Source organism: Homo sapiens, chromosome 13, assembly GCF_000001405.40.
Source record: "Homo sapiens chromosome 13, GRCh38.p14 Primary Assembly".
NCBI lineage: Eukaryota > Metazoa > Chordata > Mammalia > Primates > Hominidae > Homo > Homo sapiens.
The window spans coordinates 63504464-63520270 of NC_000013.11; the positions used below are offsets into that span (position 1 = coordinate 63504464).

Consider the following 15807-nt stretch of genomic DNA (forward strand, 5'->3'; position numbering starts at 1 on the left):
TTTGTAGTAGAAGCATTTACAGACTAACTTAAATAACCTGTAGATTTACCAGATAATCACTCACTGGAAAACGAACTGTAACATGAGTGAGCAATTAAAAATGGTATTGATGAATGCATGGTATTCATGATTGCATGGTAATGGAGTAAAATGTATATACGTTGTATGCAAAAAGATTAAGAGTTGTCATGATGAGACTGTCATTGTAGAAGATATGCCAGTTATTCTTATCTACAAATTAAAAAATATTGTATACATATCTACTGTGTTTGAATAGAGTATCTTCCCTCAGTAGAGGGATACTAAGTTTCAGAGAAATAAGATTTATAGTTTTCAAATTGGCTTATAAAATCACAAGAATGTACACTTACAAACAGAAACTGACAACTTAATAAGACGTCGGGTCTCAGTACGTGTACCAAAGCACCCCGGGGTACTTCAGCATAGTCACAGGGGCACAGCATGATATAATAAATGCTCCTGGGGAACATGGAAATGCTTAACATCTGTAGGAAAGCTTGTGAAATATTTGCTCAAGGTAGTTCAGATTCCATGTTAGTGCTACATTTTTTTCCCAATGTCATTCATATCTTTGTGAAATTGGGTTTTTAGCAATTTTTGTGATAAAAAGCAAGAACTATGTGAAAGCTAATGTGGAAAGAGAGATGAGGGTTTACTGTCCAGTCTGAGTACTAACAGTGTCCACTTCCAACAATACATCAAATTGTTTCCAGGGGCCGGGCGGGGGGTGTCCTTGCTCCCAGAGCTCCCAAGATGGTGGTGGGTCGCTTCCAAAATGGCGGCGGGCACTTCCAAGATGGTGGTAAGCCTCGTGTTCTCTGACCTGGGGTTCTTGGCCTCACGGATTCCAAGGAATGGAATCTTGGGCCATGCAGTGAGTGTTATAGCTCTATTAGAAGCCGTGGGTCACGGAAGAGAACCGTGGAACCCAGTGACTAGTGTTCAGTTTGATTAGGATGAACCCGGGCACTTAGCCATGCAGGAACAATGGCAAGCCTTTAGCCCGATCAGGAGCGGCAATGGGCGCCTCACTAGATCAGGAGCACAGTGGACACCCCGCCGGATCCAGAGGGATGGAAGTCAGAGGCGGGTCTGTGACAGCGGCAAATGGCAGTGGTGGATAGCGACCAAAAGCTCAGCTCAAGCCATAACAAACACGGACCAGAAGAGTGTGCAGTTGCAAGATTTAATAGAATGAAAACCGAGCTCCCATACTAAGGGAGGGGACTCCAAGAGGGTAACCATTGCTGGCTCGAATGCGTGGGTTTATATCCCAATTGTTGTCCCTCCAGCTGTGCTCTCAGGCAATAGATGATTGGCTATTTCTTTACCTCCTGTTTTTGCCTAATTAGCATTTAGTGAGCTCTCTTTACTACCTGATTTGTTAGGTGTGAGCTAAGTTGCAAGCCCTGTGTTTAAAGATGGATGCGGTCACCTTCCCAGCTAGGCTTAGGGATTCTTAGTCGGCCTAGGAAATCCAGCTAGTCCTGTCTCTCAAAATTACTAAGTAATTGAGATTATTTAACAATATTTAACAATATTTTTTCTTTAAATTCATGCATTTTTTAACAAATAATTACTGAGTTGTTAAAGCACAAATATACATTAAGTAGTATGAACCCAACTCCTTAATAAGCAGGACTCCAGGTATTTCTTTTCGCCTGGAGGCATAGTGAAAAAATTACTGAAATATGAAGAATGTTGGTAACAGTAAGTTTGGAAACTTCTACAATAATAAGGTATTGTTATTAAAATTTATGAATAACCTGCTCTCTCTAATTCTCCTTATCATAGAATATAAAACAAAATTAGTAGCTTTAGGTATCAGCATGAAGATTATTGATATTGGTGAAATATTTTTCATACTGAAACTACTATGTACCATTATCCCTACTCTTAAATTATCAAATAATAGGGCAAATAGATATCAGCATATTTCATACATTAATAAACACAACAGCAATATGTGGCTTCCAGAATAAATTATTACCTTAGCTGATGTAAATTGAAGTTAAAATCACCCCTTCAATGCATGTTTCATGGCCACTAAAAAAGTAAGAGGCTGTATTCTGGATTTTATAAGACTTCTCTGTTATGATGAGTTCAGTAATCTAGTAGCAGAGATTTTTTTTTAAAATTTTTTAACTTAATGGTAAGCCACTCTTTAGGTCAAGTGTTTGTACTCAATTTTTCCTTAAGATTTAGTCACTAGATAGAAAAACTGGATTACTTTCTGTTTATTCTCCATCATTACTTTGGCCACCACGACTTTGTCCATCTCAACCTTATTGAAAATGTCTGTATAATAGGATATCCATGTTTGTTGGACACCATTGTGGAGTCTTTTGATGCACAGTTTACATCTTCTGATATAATTAGGTTGTTCTAGTCATGCTGTACTGATATTAGGATGTTTACAATTGATTAAATCCAAAGTTCAGTGGACTTTGCTGTGTGTTTGCCATGGCAGGCAGACACATGGAGATGGTGTTCCCCTGTGTAAGAAGAATGGCAACACCAGTGATGTTGATGCTCCTCTAGTAGCTTTGGCTTCTTCCTCCAGCACTGCCATCACTTGGTTAATGCCTTTCCCAATAAAACAAAGAATCTTTACTAATCTGTTATATCAAGACCCAGATAAGTGATGACAAATCTGGAAATAAGTACATTTCCTTTACTTCAAATATTGAAAGTTTGATCCTGATTGGAATTGAATTACTTCTTGGTTGCAAAGCAATGATGTCATGGTTAGAACATTATTTCATCCATTTGGTAAACCATAATATAAACTGAAATGTGGTTATCTTTTCGTTGTGTCAATTTGGCTCTTCTATAGTCTCCAGTTATTCAATCAAACACTAACTTTGGTGTTGCTGTGAAGATTTCTCTTTTTTGCATATGTTATTAAACTCCATAATTAGTTGGTTTTAAATAAGGACATTTTTGACATCTTGTGTTTTGTTAATGATAGGGCATTTTTGTGAAAACATAAACCATATTTTCTTCATGCTTGCCCATAGAATACATCATTTAATCTTTTATCCTGTTCTTCTATTCTTCTAACATGAAATACCATATAAATATCCTTGTTTGGAGTTTGTTTTTCCAGGAAGGAGGGCAGATATTAAGTTTGTATGTTAGACTCAAGAGGGGAAAAAGTTAATTAGATGAGAAACTGAAGTTGTTCAATTTTATCACAAACATAACCAATCTATGGAGTCAATATTGAGATAATGAGAAAAAAGTTGTTTTAAGAGGAAAAAAAAGGTGGAAAGAAGGGCTAGGGACTGAGATGACACTCTGGTTTTTCTTCCATTAAGACATGTTCCTTTGATGAAAAAGTGCAATTGACTTTAGCCGCTCTGAATAAGATAACTAAGACCTAGTTAAAATTGATTTTTAGCCAACACTTCTGAGCTATAGTACAACCAGTTATGTCAGGTATGTTTCAGGGCCACCAAAAAGGTAAAGACTATATTCTGAATTTTATAAGACCTCTCTGTTATGTTGAGTTCAATAATCTAGTGGCAGATTTTTTTTCTTTTTTTTTTTTGTTTCTCTTTTAATGTTTTTAAAGTTCTTGTAGACATGAAAATTGAGAATTACATTCTAATTTGAACATATCTCAAATAAATTAGTTTCTAAAAATACCTTTAGTATATGAAACTAAATTAAGCAGAAACTCATTAATTTCTTATTATTAGTAAATATATAATATGAATTAGAAAATGAGAACATATTCTTATTCTTACTTTTATAATAATATTACTATTAGTTTGTTTACTATCTTGAACTCCAAAATTTCTAGTGCTAAGTTGGGACAAGGGTATACATTATTAGAATTTTAAAGATTAAATTACTTCATATTTTATTGATACTTCAAAGTTTTCTCTTTCCAGTACCCTTTTATACAATGATGTGTTACTCTGCTTGGGTTGCCATAATAAAATGTCACAAACTGAGCAGTTTAAACAAAGGAAATCTATTATCTTAGAGTTATGGAGCCTGGGTATCTTTTTTAATTTTAATTTTAAATTCAGCATACATGTGCGGGTTTGTAATATAGGTAAACTTGTATTATGGGGGTTTGTTGTACAGATTATTTAATCACCCAGGTATTAAGCCTTATATCCATTATTATTTTTTCTGATCCTCTGCCTCCTCCCAACCTCCAACCTCCAAAAGTCCCCAGTGTGTGTTGTTCCTCTCTATGTCCATGTGTTCTCATAATTTAGCTCCCACTTACAACTAAGAATATGCAGTATTTGGTTTTCTGTTCCTGTGTTAGTTTCCTAAGAATAATGGCCTTCAACTCCATCATGTCCCTGCAAAGGATATGATCTCATTCTTTTTTATGCTGCATAGTATTCCATGGTATATATGTACTACATTTTATTTATCCAGTCAATCATTGATGGGTATTTAGGTTGATTTCATGTCTTTGCTATTATGAATATTGCTGCAATAAACATACATGTGCATGTGTCTTTATAATGGAATACAGCCAACAATCATATGAAGAAAGGTTCAACATCACTGATCATTATAGAAATGCAAATCAAAACCCCAGTGAAATACCATCTCACACCAGTCAGAATGGTTATTATTAAAAAGTCAAAAAATAACAGATGCTGGTGAGGCTTGTGGAGAAAAAGGAATGCTTATACTGTTGGTGGGAATGTAAATTATTTCATTGTGGAAGACAGTGTGGTGATTCCTCAAAGACCTAAGGATAGAAATACCATTCAACCCAGCAATCCCATTATGGGTATACACCCAAAGAAATATAAATCATTCTATTACAGAGATTGGATATCTTAAGATCAAGGTGCTGGCAGGGTTGGCTTCTAGTGAAGCCTCTCTTCCTGTCTTGAACATGGCTGCCTTCTTGTGTTCCCACACAGCCTTTTCTCTGTGCTCACGAACTCCTGGTGTCGGGTTTTCTTATGAAGATACCAGTTCTGTTGGATTAGAGCTCCATCTTTATGGCGCATTTAACCTTAATGGCTCTATTTCTGAATACAGTAACATTAGGGTATAGAGCTTCAACATATGACTCTTACAGGGGACAAAATTCAGTCCATATCAGATATATTTCATTAGATTTTTAATTTTTTTCTCTATAGTATTTTGAACAAAGGTTTAAAGAAAATAGAATTAAATATTCTGAGAGCAAAATAAATCCAGTAATAATTTTCCAAGAATAAAGATATTATTTTAAATACAGAGCTTTGCATTTAAGTTTCATATAATAATTCCTTGACATTAAAATATGCAATAGAATGGGAAAATTTAAAGTCCAATAAAATTTTATCTAAAGCAATTAAGTTGATTTTTACATTTATTTTAGAGAAAATATTTTAATTGTATTCAAAATAACATTTTGTTTCTTACTGACAATACTATTTTCATAGTTAAAATTTAAGGAATATAGAAGTTTCTATTCAGAATTAAGCACAAGCACATACACACACATATACACCTTAATTCTTACTTAATATTTTATTGGTGACCTACATTGTTGAAATTGTGCATGTGGAACTGGATGAACCAGAAATAGAATGTATTACTTTAAAGTCAGATGAAAGAGTGCAGTACTGGAGAAGTATAATATATAAGTTATATTCATATAGCTGAATATTTAATCTATAGGCAAATGAAAATACTAAACTAAAAATCTCAGAGAGTGAATGCATATTCAGCCTTAGATTCTAAGTGACACATCCACACTATAATACTTTATATTTATTCAAGAAGAGATAAGTATAAATTTAATTACCCAGCTGAAAATACCCAGCCTCTAAGTATTAAATAAAAATGTCAAAGGCAGTTTGCTTTAACTGTCTTTAGAACTTTAAGGTACACATTAAGAAAACACAAAGAAGCTGAGGCATATTGGTAGAAACATAATTAGAATTTATAGAGCAGAGGATGTTTGAGAAAAAGCCCTCATATCTGTCCCCTTCTGTTGTTCCTAAACCTAGCTGAGTATCTGTGTGTGTTGGTGGCGGATGCGGTGGTGTGTGCACATACATGCAAGTGGGCATGCAAGGGGAAATATTACAGAAACCTGAGACACATTTGGAGATCTTTGAGCAAAAGAACTGCTGTTTGGCTATTAAGGTTCAGAGAAAGTAGTATATTACATAACTTACGACTCATATCAGAAAAGGAACATTAAAAATACTGAGATAATTGATGAAGAACACAGTAACCCAGGGAGCAAGAAAGATGAACAGCACTTGACCATCATAATCAGTGATTTTATTTGGACCAGTAACCTCACCTTTGGTGCTGGGAAATAATAAATGCTCAAATGCCCAAGGTGAGCTAGGAACTACTATATAATTATGTTCAGTGTGCCCTATATACATACTAGGATGCTATATAATTTCTTTCCTCTCCCCTCTCCATATCCAAAAACTTATAATATCCATAGAGAAAAAGGAGGGAGAGAAGAAAGGGAAATAATAATTTTGAAATTAATTAATTTAAAGCTCATATTGACTTCAGGTGATGACTTTAAATGATTAATTCTAAAACTAGAAAATTACTACAAATGGGAAGATTATCTATTTTCTGTTACTTAGCAGAAATGATCACTTGTGGCCTAAGTAAAACGAGTTAAAGACAAATAAATTTACATATTTATATGTGTGATTAATAATTGGAATTTTCTACCAGCTACAGAAATGTATTTTTCATTCAAAAAGACAAAGAAAACATATGATTGACAGAATTACTAAAAATCTCTAAGATATATTGTATGATGAGTAGGAAAGAACGAGTTGGAGAAATGATGGTGGCAGGAGGCAGGCCAATTTCTAGGCAGACAGGGGTGGGTTCCCAGGAAGACCCCCTTCAGGCTGGAGACAGCCTTAAGCCTGAAAATCAGGCTGCCTCTTCCAGATGGAATCCACCACCAGGAGTGAGAACGTCCTTTATGTCTTTCAGCCAGCCTTTATGTCTTTCAGCCAGCCTTTATGTCTTTATGTTTTCCAGGCCTGCCTATGGATCAATCAGCATGTACTTCCACTTGCCCATGGACCAGTCAGCACACACTTCTTCCATTCTGAGCCCATGAAAACCCTGGACTGAGCCACGTTATCGGGGCTGCCTGCCTATGGATAGAATCTACTCACTTCTGCTGACAGCTGTTCTGCCATTCAATAAAACTCCTCCACCTTGCTCACTCTTCAATTGTCCGGGTAACCTCATTCTTCCTGGGAGGGACAAGAACTCAGGACCCAGATGAATGGCGAATGTAAAAAGGAGTGTAACACGTTCTTGGCAGGTTCGCTGCTGGGAGTGATGCCATGCTCCTGTTTATTGGACCGCAGGAGTGAAGAGCAGTGACACTTCTGGGGGCCCAGACCTGTACCTCTATCACCCTCCCGTCCTCTGCCAGTAATCAGGCGGCCACCCCATGTGATGGAAAGTGGCGACAGGGCTAGGCCAGCCCGAGCGCCAAGGGCTGGTGGGAAGTGGCAGCACTAAACGAGCTGAAACAGGCTCTCCGCCATTCACTGGGCTGTGGGTAATGGGAACAAGAGAGCTGTAGAGCACCCCCCACCTTGGGGCTCCAGGGTTGCTGGTATCTCTTTCTCGGGAACCACCACATTCTCTTCGTCCAAATGCTGCCACCCACAATGAAAGCTGCTTGTGGTATGCTTGGTCCAGCTACTGGTCCAGCTGTAGCCTCACAAGGAGCCAATGCCTGTGCCAACACCTGGAGCTGCCCGCCCCACCACAGCAGCCAGCACGCCCGGCTGTGTGCAGTGGCTGGCCCCTGCACTCACTTGCTCACACACCCCTCACCCCTCTGAGCCTGGCTTGCCCTCAGCAGGCATGGGATCTAGGCCAGTAGCACGAGCCAAGTGCAGCCTGCTGGGCTGAGTGGGTGAAATGAGCCCAGCAGGCACGAGTAAAACTCAAGCAGAGGTGCCGCCAGCCACAGGAGTTTCTGGCTGGTGAAGTGACACCCAAAAGATCCTGTGACAGAGGCGTCTATGATAAACACATTCCCAGCAGTAGGAATCACATTTTTCAAAAATATGGCATTATGAAGGTTTATGACAATTTCAAACTAAAATAAGGTAAATGTAAAGAAGTGTGTGAGGCATGTTGAGAGAAGAAATCTTAGAGATAGGTGAGATGGAGAACATGACAAATCTTCAATATTTTGGTTTTTACTTTACAAAGATTTTTGAACTGTTAAAGGTGTACAATTGATATTAATGGATTTTAAAATGATTTTCTGTATACAGTATGTAAAGTAATTTAAAAGAGGGAAGAAATAGATGTGAGATACCTGTTGCAATAGTCCTTGAGAGAGATTATGATAATTTTGACTAAGACAATGATAATGGGCAGTCGATGTCACTAAAATAATAGAAATATTAAAGAAGTGAAAACAACAGGATTTGTTTAGAATTGGTGACGTAGGTGAGGAATAATGTGTCAAGACTTTATTTCTATTTTGCACAATCAAATAATTGTTACTTTTATTAAGAATGTTATTTGAAAGGTATAATCATGATTTTTCAAACAAATTTAAAAGAAACACATGCCAAAGCTTTTAATATTACAAGCTGGTTTATTTTATTGTAGGTATTAGGAGAACTTTGAAGAAGTTACAACTACCTGTAGCTTAAAGGTGCATAACAAATATATAGGCAATCAGGAATGGAATGCTGAAATGAATTTGTTCAATGGATGTAAAAGTGGTTTATTTCATAGTAAGGAATGGAAATCAACTGAGTTTCTACCAGACAAAATTTATTAATGACTATGGATAAAAATAATGTTAATTGCTCCCAGTCATCTATTACTTAGAGAGTTGTCAATAGCTCAAAGACAAGGAAATGCAATAAAATGCCATAAAATTCACAGAATTCACAGATAGATATGCCAGAAAGTATCTGATTTTTCATTAAAGACATCCAACAATCTTTTGGTCTGTTTGAAAATTTTTCTCAATATTTGAGAATAACTGTGAGTAGTAGACATTGATCAGTATTTCAATATTTGCATGATGATTTGAAGGTGAGGTGACCTTGAGAAATTACAGTAAAGATATGATGTAATGAGTTGGATATGTCAGTCTGGAAATCGTATCAAACTAATTTCACATAGAGGTGGTAATTGAATGAGGTCACCAAGGGACAAAAAATAGATTAAGAAGTGAGAAGTTCTTCACCTGAGCCTTGAAAAACACCAATATTTAATAAGATTGTAAAAGAGCCTGCAAAAAGAAGCCGAAAGAGTGCTGGTGTTTTGCATTGAAAGGCATCAGAAATGAAGAAAGTCTAATCAGCATTATTAATCAGTATGCTAATGTTAAGTATAATAATGACAAATACTACTGCATTTATTAGGTAGGTTAAAGTTTAGAATGTTTGCCATAAAAATGTACATTTCGAATGCAATAATGGACCAAATCTCTCTCCACATAAAATTGTGAGAAAACAAAACAAAACTCTCTTTCTCACAACTTACTGGAAGGGTGCCCTTAGAATAGGACCAGATTTTAATTTCAGTAAGTAGAGGTATGGGGAAATGTTGAGATTGCACTGAGTTTGCTAAATTTGGAATAACAGTTGCAGAAGGCACACTAGGAGGATTTGAGAGGTGGGTAATTTTAAGGTTGTTACATACTTACACCTTAGTAAGTTTCTATTTCCTTTTCCCGACAGGGGAATTACACTGGAATTCAATTTTGTGTCTGATTACTCATGAATATAAAAAACAATGATGATTTATTTGGAATGTGTATTCTATACCAAGAAGTCAGAGAACAAAACATGTTTCTTTTAAAATATTCCTTCTCATCAACTCAGCTCCATTATAGTACACAATTTGTTATCCAATATGGATTAATAATGGGAGTTTTAATTGCATATTCTGATTCACAAAAGAGTATAAGTCCAGAAATATATGAACTACCAATGTTTAAGGAATTCGAGCAGGGTATTAGTGTACTGTATGCAAACCAAGTTGGACAAAATTTTATCTCTGTTGATTCAAAAGAATCGTGAAATCTCTTAGGGTCAAAATCTTTACCATTTCTCAGCACTGAATTGATGAAGCATACAAGTACTATCTGTCAGTATTTGTCATTGATATTTTGTTGAGTATTTAGTACATTAAGAAAACACAAATTGATTCCACTACTCTGAGCAATGAAATATCCCCTTATAAAATATAGATGGTTAGAAATACTGCCTGGAGAAAAGAATCTGCATTACATTTTCACAATAATTTATGAAAACATAACACGATAATCATCCTAACGCTAATTCATATTCTCATGGATGATTATCTGGCTCTATTTTAAATAAAAAGTAAGAAACATTACTGAATATTTGATTTACTAAAATGGATTTATAACGCTTTGCCAGAAATTATCTTCTAATTTTATTTAAATTTTCTGGATATGGAAACACTGATGGTTCTTTGGTTGATGAGGCCTTATTTGTTTAGAAATGAGCAACGGCACCCCCACAGGGTCACAGAGAAGCTTTTATCAGTAGCAGCCTTTAGGCCACAGTTTGCAATCAGTGAATATTTATATTAGTAGCAATTGCACCAGACAGTAATTATCTTATCACGGAGGAAAAGGTTAAAAAGAAGCTTCTCCATTGGACACCCACTGTGTGGATAATTAAGTATCTCCATGGCTTCTTTCATTACTGCATTCAATAATAGTTAAATACTAGGGAATCTAGCCATAATCAGACATGATTTGATGAGACATAGAGACAGATAGGAGCAAACAATTTTTGTCTCTAGTTTTACTTGCTAAATTCCTTAACTTGATAGACCTTGGTAAACATTTTTATAATATACTCTAGGTACCCACTGTTGTCCAATGAACAAAGTTATTAAGTGGAAGCATTTAATTGCATCTTGTGACATTCTAGAAAATACATTAAGATACCTAAAGCAATTTTTTAAAAGGGTGTTGAAAGTTATTTGTGAGTATAATCTTAAAGGCAATTTATTTCTGACATATTTAGGTGATATTTACATTATTATTTTGTCAGATAGGGGGAATAGACTCTTCTGTATCAATTCATCCCTTGAAGCCAATGAAGGTCTTTCAAAACGGTTACACGCATTCTCTCCTTGAGGTTATTAAAATAAAATTTATTTAACAAAATATTAATACAGTTTATTAAATGTCACCTGAGAAGCACTGACACACAATGCATTTCATTGGACTAAAATTAATTTAGTAAAATTTTTAAAAATGCCCATAGCACTTTTAAATTATGCAGACTAATAATGGGCTTGATGATTCAGTTTTGGGCAAAAAGTACTGCCTTAGAACATAGATCATGTCAGTTCTTCCCTTCTCTCTTTCTTAAACTCTCACTTCAGATCTCATGATTCTATAATCTGAGAACATGAAGTAGGCACAGAGAGTGCCTGGTCATGCATTAATTTATTACTTCAACAAAACATTGAACAGCGGCTATACTCCAGACACTCCTCTAGGCATAAAGTCAGCACTGGAAGCTTTAAAAAATAATAATATAATTTTTTACTGAGAGAAATTAGGGCACTGCATATCAATGGTTAGAAACTATTCACTACACTTCCTAATGTCAGCATACTCAATACTAGCAGTCTAAAGTATATGATTTTTCAAGCAACAACATTGCATTTTACAGAGCAAGAGTTTTGCAGATTAACAGATTAGGCTTTTATCCATTTTAATGAGACACCATTTTATATAATAAATATTTATTGATCTCCAGAATTTTGCTGCTCATGTTACAGTGAACGATGTAGACACAAAATGCTTACATGCCTGTGGTCTCCAGTTTTGTAAGTTAAGAGACCAGAAAACCAAAAACCTGAGAAGGAGCAAGATAATTTGGGGTGAGCCATCAATGTGGTAAGAAGAGAGCTGGGAAAGTGGGGTATCAGGGAAGCTTTAATAGGATAAACTCTTTGGAAGGCAGAATGGTAAATTAGGTAAAAAGCTGGGGATAATTTGAATTAGATGAGCATAAAGAAATGACAAGTGAGTTAGGCATATAAAGTTTGTTATTAACCTTGACAAAAACAATTTCAGATAAAAATCAGTGTTTGAATTCTTAATTGTAACTGAGATGCAGACCCAGAGTAAATAATTTCTTTTAAGACATGTTGATGAAATAAGAAAGTGAGAAATAGAGATGATGTTCGATGCTTTATTTTTAAAGTTGGAAAATGCTTGAGTGAAATTCTTAATATAAGGTTTGTGAGTAGAATTCACAAGGTTTATGGAATTGAATGAGGGAAAATTTTCATGCTAATTTTCACTAATTTCTAATTAAATTTAACATTTATTTCAATTATTGATATAGAGAAAAACTTTTAAGGAATATAGCCATATCTGTCATTTCAACAGCAGTAGAAATCACAGTCATTTTCAAATAATGTAATAGTTACCCCAGATATTATTTACACTCATTTTTACTCAGAAATTATTGTTACAAATCATGCCACTAATTATTACTTAATAAAGTGCATGCATTACAATATCTAAACTTTGTTATTAATAATATTTTAAATAATATTTTAATATTATTTAAATAATATTTTAACTTAGAAATACAGTTGATTCTGAGGTTAGGGTAACATAGCCCCTGCATAGCTGAAAATTCAACTATAACTTTTGACTACCCCAAAAGCCAAGTACTAATAGCCTACTGTTCACCAGAAGCCTTACAATAACATAAACAGTCAATTAACACACATTTTTTCTGGTGTATGTATTACATACCATACACTTATGACAAAATAAGCTAGAGAAAAGAAAATGTTATTAAGAAAATCATAAGAAAGAGAAAATATGTTTACAGTACTATACTGTATTTATTGATACTGTAAGTCTATATCATCTGTTTACGTGATGAATCCTCTGTAATCACTGCAATCATAGCTGCAGACCTCAGTCTATGGAACATATCCAGCAATTCAACTTTTTCTTATGTCATGGCTTTTCTATGCTTTTTGGGAGCACTTCCAGCATCATTAGTGGCACTTTGTACGGGTCCCATGCTGTTATTCAAGGTTTATGGTATTGCGCCAAACATGATGAAAGACACACAAAAACCACGAGAGATCATTTTTCACTGTGATACGCAATTTACTGGAGAGATGAACTGCTCACATGGAGATGATTAGAGTCACATGGCGTTTTAAGCGGATACTTGCAACACTCGAGCTCACCTCAATAACAACGGGAGGTAGCTGCAAAATTATTACAGTAGTACAGTATGCAATTCAGGAAATTTTATGTAGTTATAATTTAATACGGCATCTTAATTTTTTTTTACATTTCTCTCTACTGCAAATGGAGCTATATATGATCTGTGATTATGTGCATCAGTTTTGATATATTTTTAACTTTTAATAATAGATTTTTATAAATTTATAGTAGTAAAAGATAAAATAGACTAGCAGCTATATATATTTTTTCATTCATAACGTATTTTTTCTTATTTTAAAAAATATTTCTATTCTATGCAGTTCAAGTTTTTCAGATTGTTAAAAATCTCCAATAAATGGTTCCCATATATTTATGGAAAAAATCTGCATATAAGTGGGCCCACACATTTCAAACTTGTGTTGTTCAAAGGTCAACTGTAATTTATTTTTATACAAATATGCACAAACAATTTAGTGGTTCCCTCAACCATTTTTCCTTAATGCAACATTTTACATTACCACTGTAATATTGTCAAAACCAAACAAAAACAAAAACAAAACATTAGTACACTACTAGTAACTAAATTCTTAATAATGATTTCAAGTTTTTACACTGACATTCTTTTTCTGTTCCATGATCCAAGTCAACAGGCCACATTAGTCATATTTCCTTAGCTTCCTCTGGTCTGTAACAGTTTTCAGTCTTTCATAGTTTTCTATTATTTATGATTGGAGGAGTACTTCTGATCAGATATTCTGTATAATGTTTCTCTAAATTTGGGATTGTCTGGTATTTTTCTGGCATTATGCTATGCTTCATATGCTATGCTCATAATTTTCTGCTGCAGACTAAAATCAGCTACCTCTTTAAGAAGTCCTGATTCCTTTTATTGGAGAATGGTACTTAGAAAACAAAGTCTGAGCTTGGGGTGTGTTAATTGTTATACCATATACCATAGGACAGGCCTAAGGTATATTTATGTATATACTAACCCATGTGTGTACATATAGCTATTATTATTTCTGTATCTTTCCCTTTGTACATACATTAGTTAGGCCAGTTTCATCCTTTCCCACTTGCTCCCACTGACTTCATGTTAGTATGATCAGTTTCCCCTGTAATCCCATGGTTTTATTTTATGCAAGTTAATTTTTTTCAGAAGAGATCCATGGGCTTCACTGGACTATCAAAAATACCATCATACAAAAGATTAATAAATTCTGGCATTAGAACATGTTTTTATGCTGATGTGAAAAATCTAATGAAAAACAGCAAACGATTTTTTAAATATGATAAAGAGATCTATCTATGCAAAGGCAAAGATTTGGAAAAAGCAATAGATAATGTGATCTAGAGCATTAAGTGGATGAGTTGAAGCAAAACAAAGTCTTTTTTACATTATAGCAAATATAAAGACAAAGGACTTGGATAAAGTTGAAAAGATTTTTATGAAGGAAAATACAATGTGAAGTTAATAGGAGTAGGATTGGGTAGCTATGTTGGAAATTTGATAAGAGTAGATAATTTGAAATTAGTTTTTGGGAAAAGAAATCTTAAAATAAAAATATATATTTGAATTATCACGTAATGTTGAGAGCCTATTAATGTAAAGAGAACTAAGTCAAAATTATTTGTGGTTTTTTTTGGTTGTTTGTTCGCTTTACAAAATCCAACTGCTTATGTGAAAAACAGATTAAAACAGATTAGGGATTTTTGAGGTAAGTATACTGGAAAGAAGGCCAAGGCAGTTGAGTCCATTTAAAAGAATGACTATAAATATATTCCACTGGAAAAGATTAATAAAAAGAAATAAAGTGAGATCATCAATGTCCTGGCAAAAAGTGAAGAATTGAGCATGTTGGATTGGGAATCTCAATGAAGATAAAAAATTGATTCACTTGAAGTAATAGCATAATGGAATATTGGACTATGATGGAATTAGAATGATGGAATATGATAGAATATTGAAGATAGAGACTGGAAAAGCTGAAATCAATAATTTGTAGTTGAGCAGTTTCTGATTAGATGTGAAGAATTAACGCAACTAAAATGATAAAGTCCTGACTATCTTTGAACTTTTTATTTCCTGAAAATAAGAAGAAGGATCAGGATAAATAAATAAATTAGGATTCATTATTAGAAATTATCAGAATGATGGCAAATGTCAAGAAGAAGAAACTTTGTTTCCAAAGTAATAGGCTTGGCCTTTTAGCATTGGTTTGATAACAGAGATGTAAGAATTTAATTTTCCAAGAGGTAATAAAAAACCTGAGAATAACTTCCCCTTCTGAAAACATTAGTAAAGACAGATAAAGAGAAAGCAATAGATTGGAAGAATCAATATTGTTAAAATTCCCATACTACCAGAGCAATCTGGAAATTCAATGCAATCCCAATGAAAATTTTAATGATTTTTTCACATAAATAGGTAAAACAATCCTAAATTTGTGTTGAACAACGCAAGATGCTAAATAATCAAAGCAATATTAAGCAAGTAAAACAATGCTGCAGACATCACACTATTTGATTTTAAAATAAACTACAAAATATAGTAATCAAAGGAGCATTGTACTGGCATAAAA

General features: G+C 34.4%; 1 long non-coding RNA gene across 1 annotated transcript in view, besides 1 other annotated feature; it reads left to right on the top strand.

Moving 5' to 3' along the window:
* Window positions 1-8972, top strand: part of LOC124903236 (uncharacterized) — a 116328-nt gene extending 107356 nt beyond the window's left edge. The window contains exon 2 of the long non-coding RNA XR_007063922.1: window positions 7024-8972. This is a non-coding gene — a long non-coding RNA (uncharacterized LOC124903236). The remainder of the gene's footprint in view (window positions 1-7023) is intronic.
* Window positions 7523-7692: an enhancer, noted in NCBI's record as "experimental_33146 CRE fragment used in MPRA reporter constructs". NCBI's record gives its function as "activates a minimal promoter by MPRAs in K562 erythroleukemia cells, with activity observed for the introgressed 13:64086204 variant allele {active_cell/tissue: K562}" and the evidence as "EXISTENCE:reporter gene assay evidence [ECO:0000049][PMID:34662402]".
* Window positions 8973-15807: the final 6835 nt, after the last annotated feature.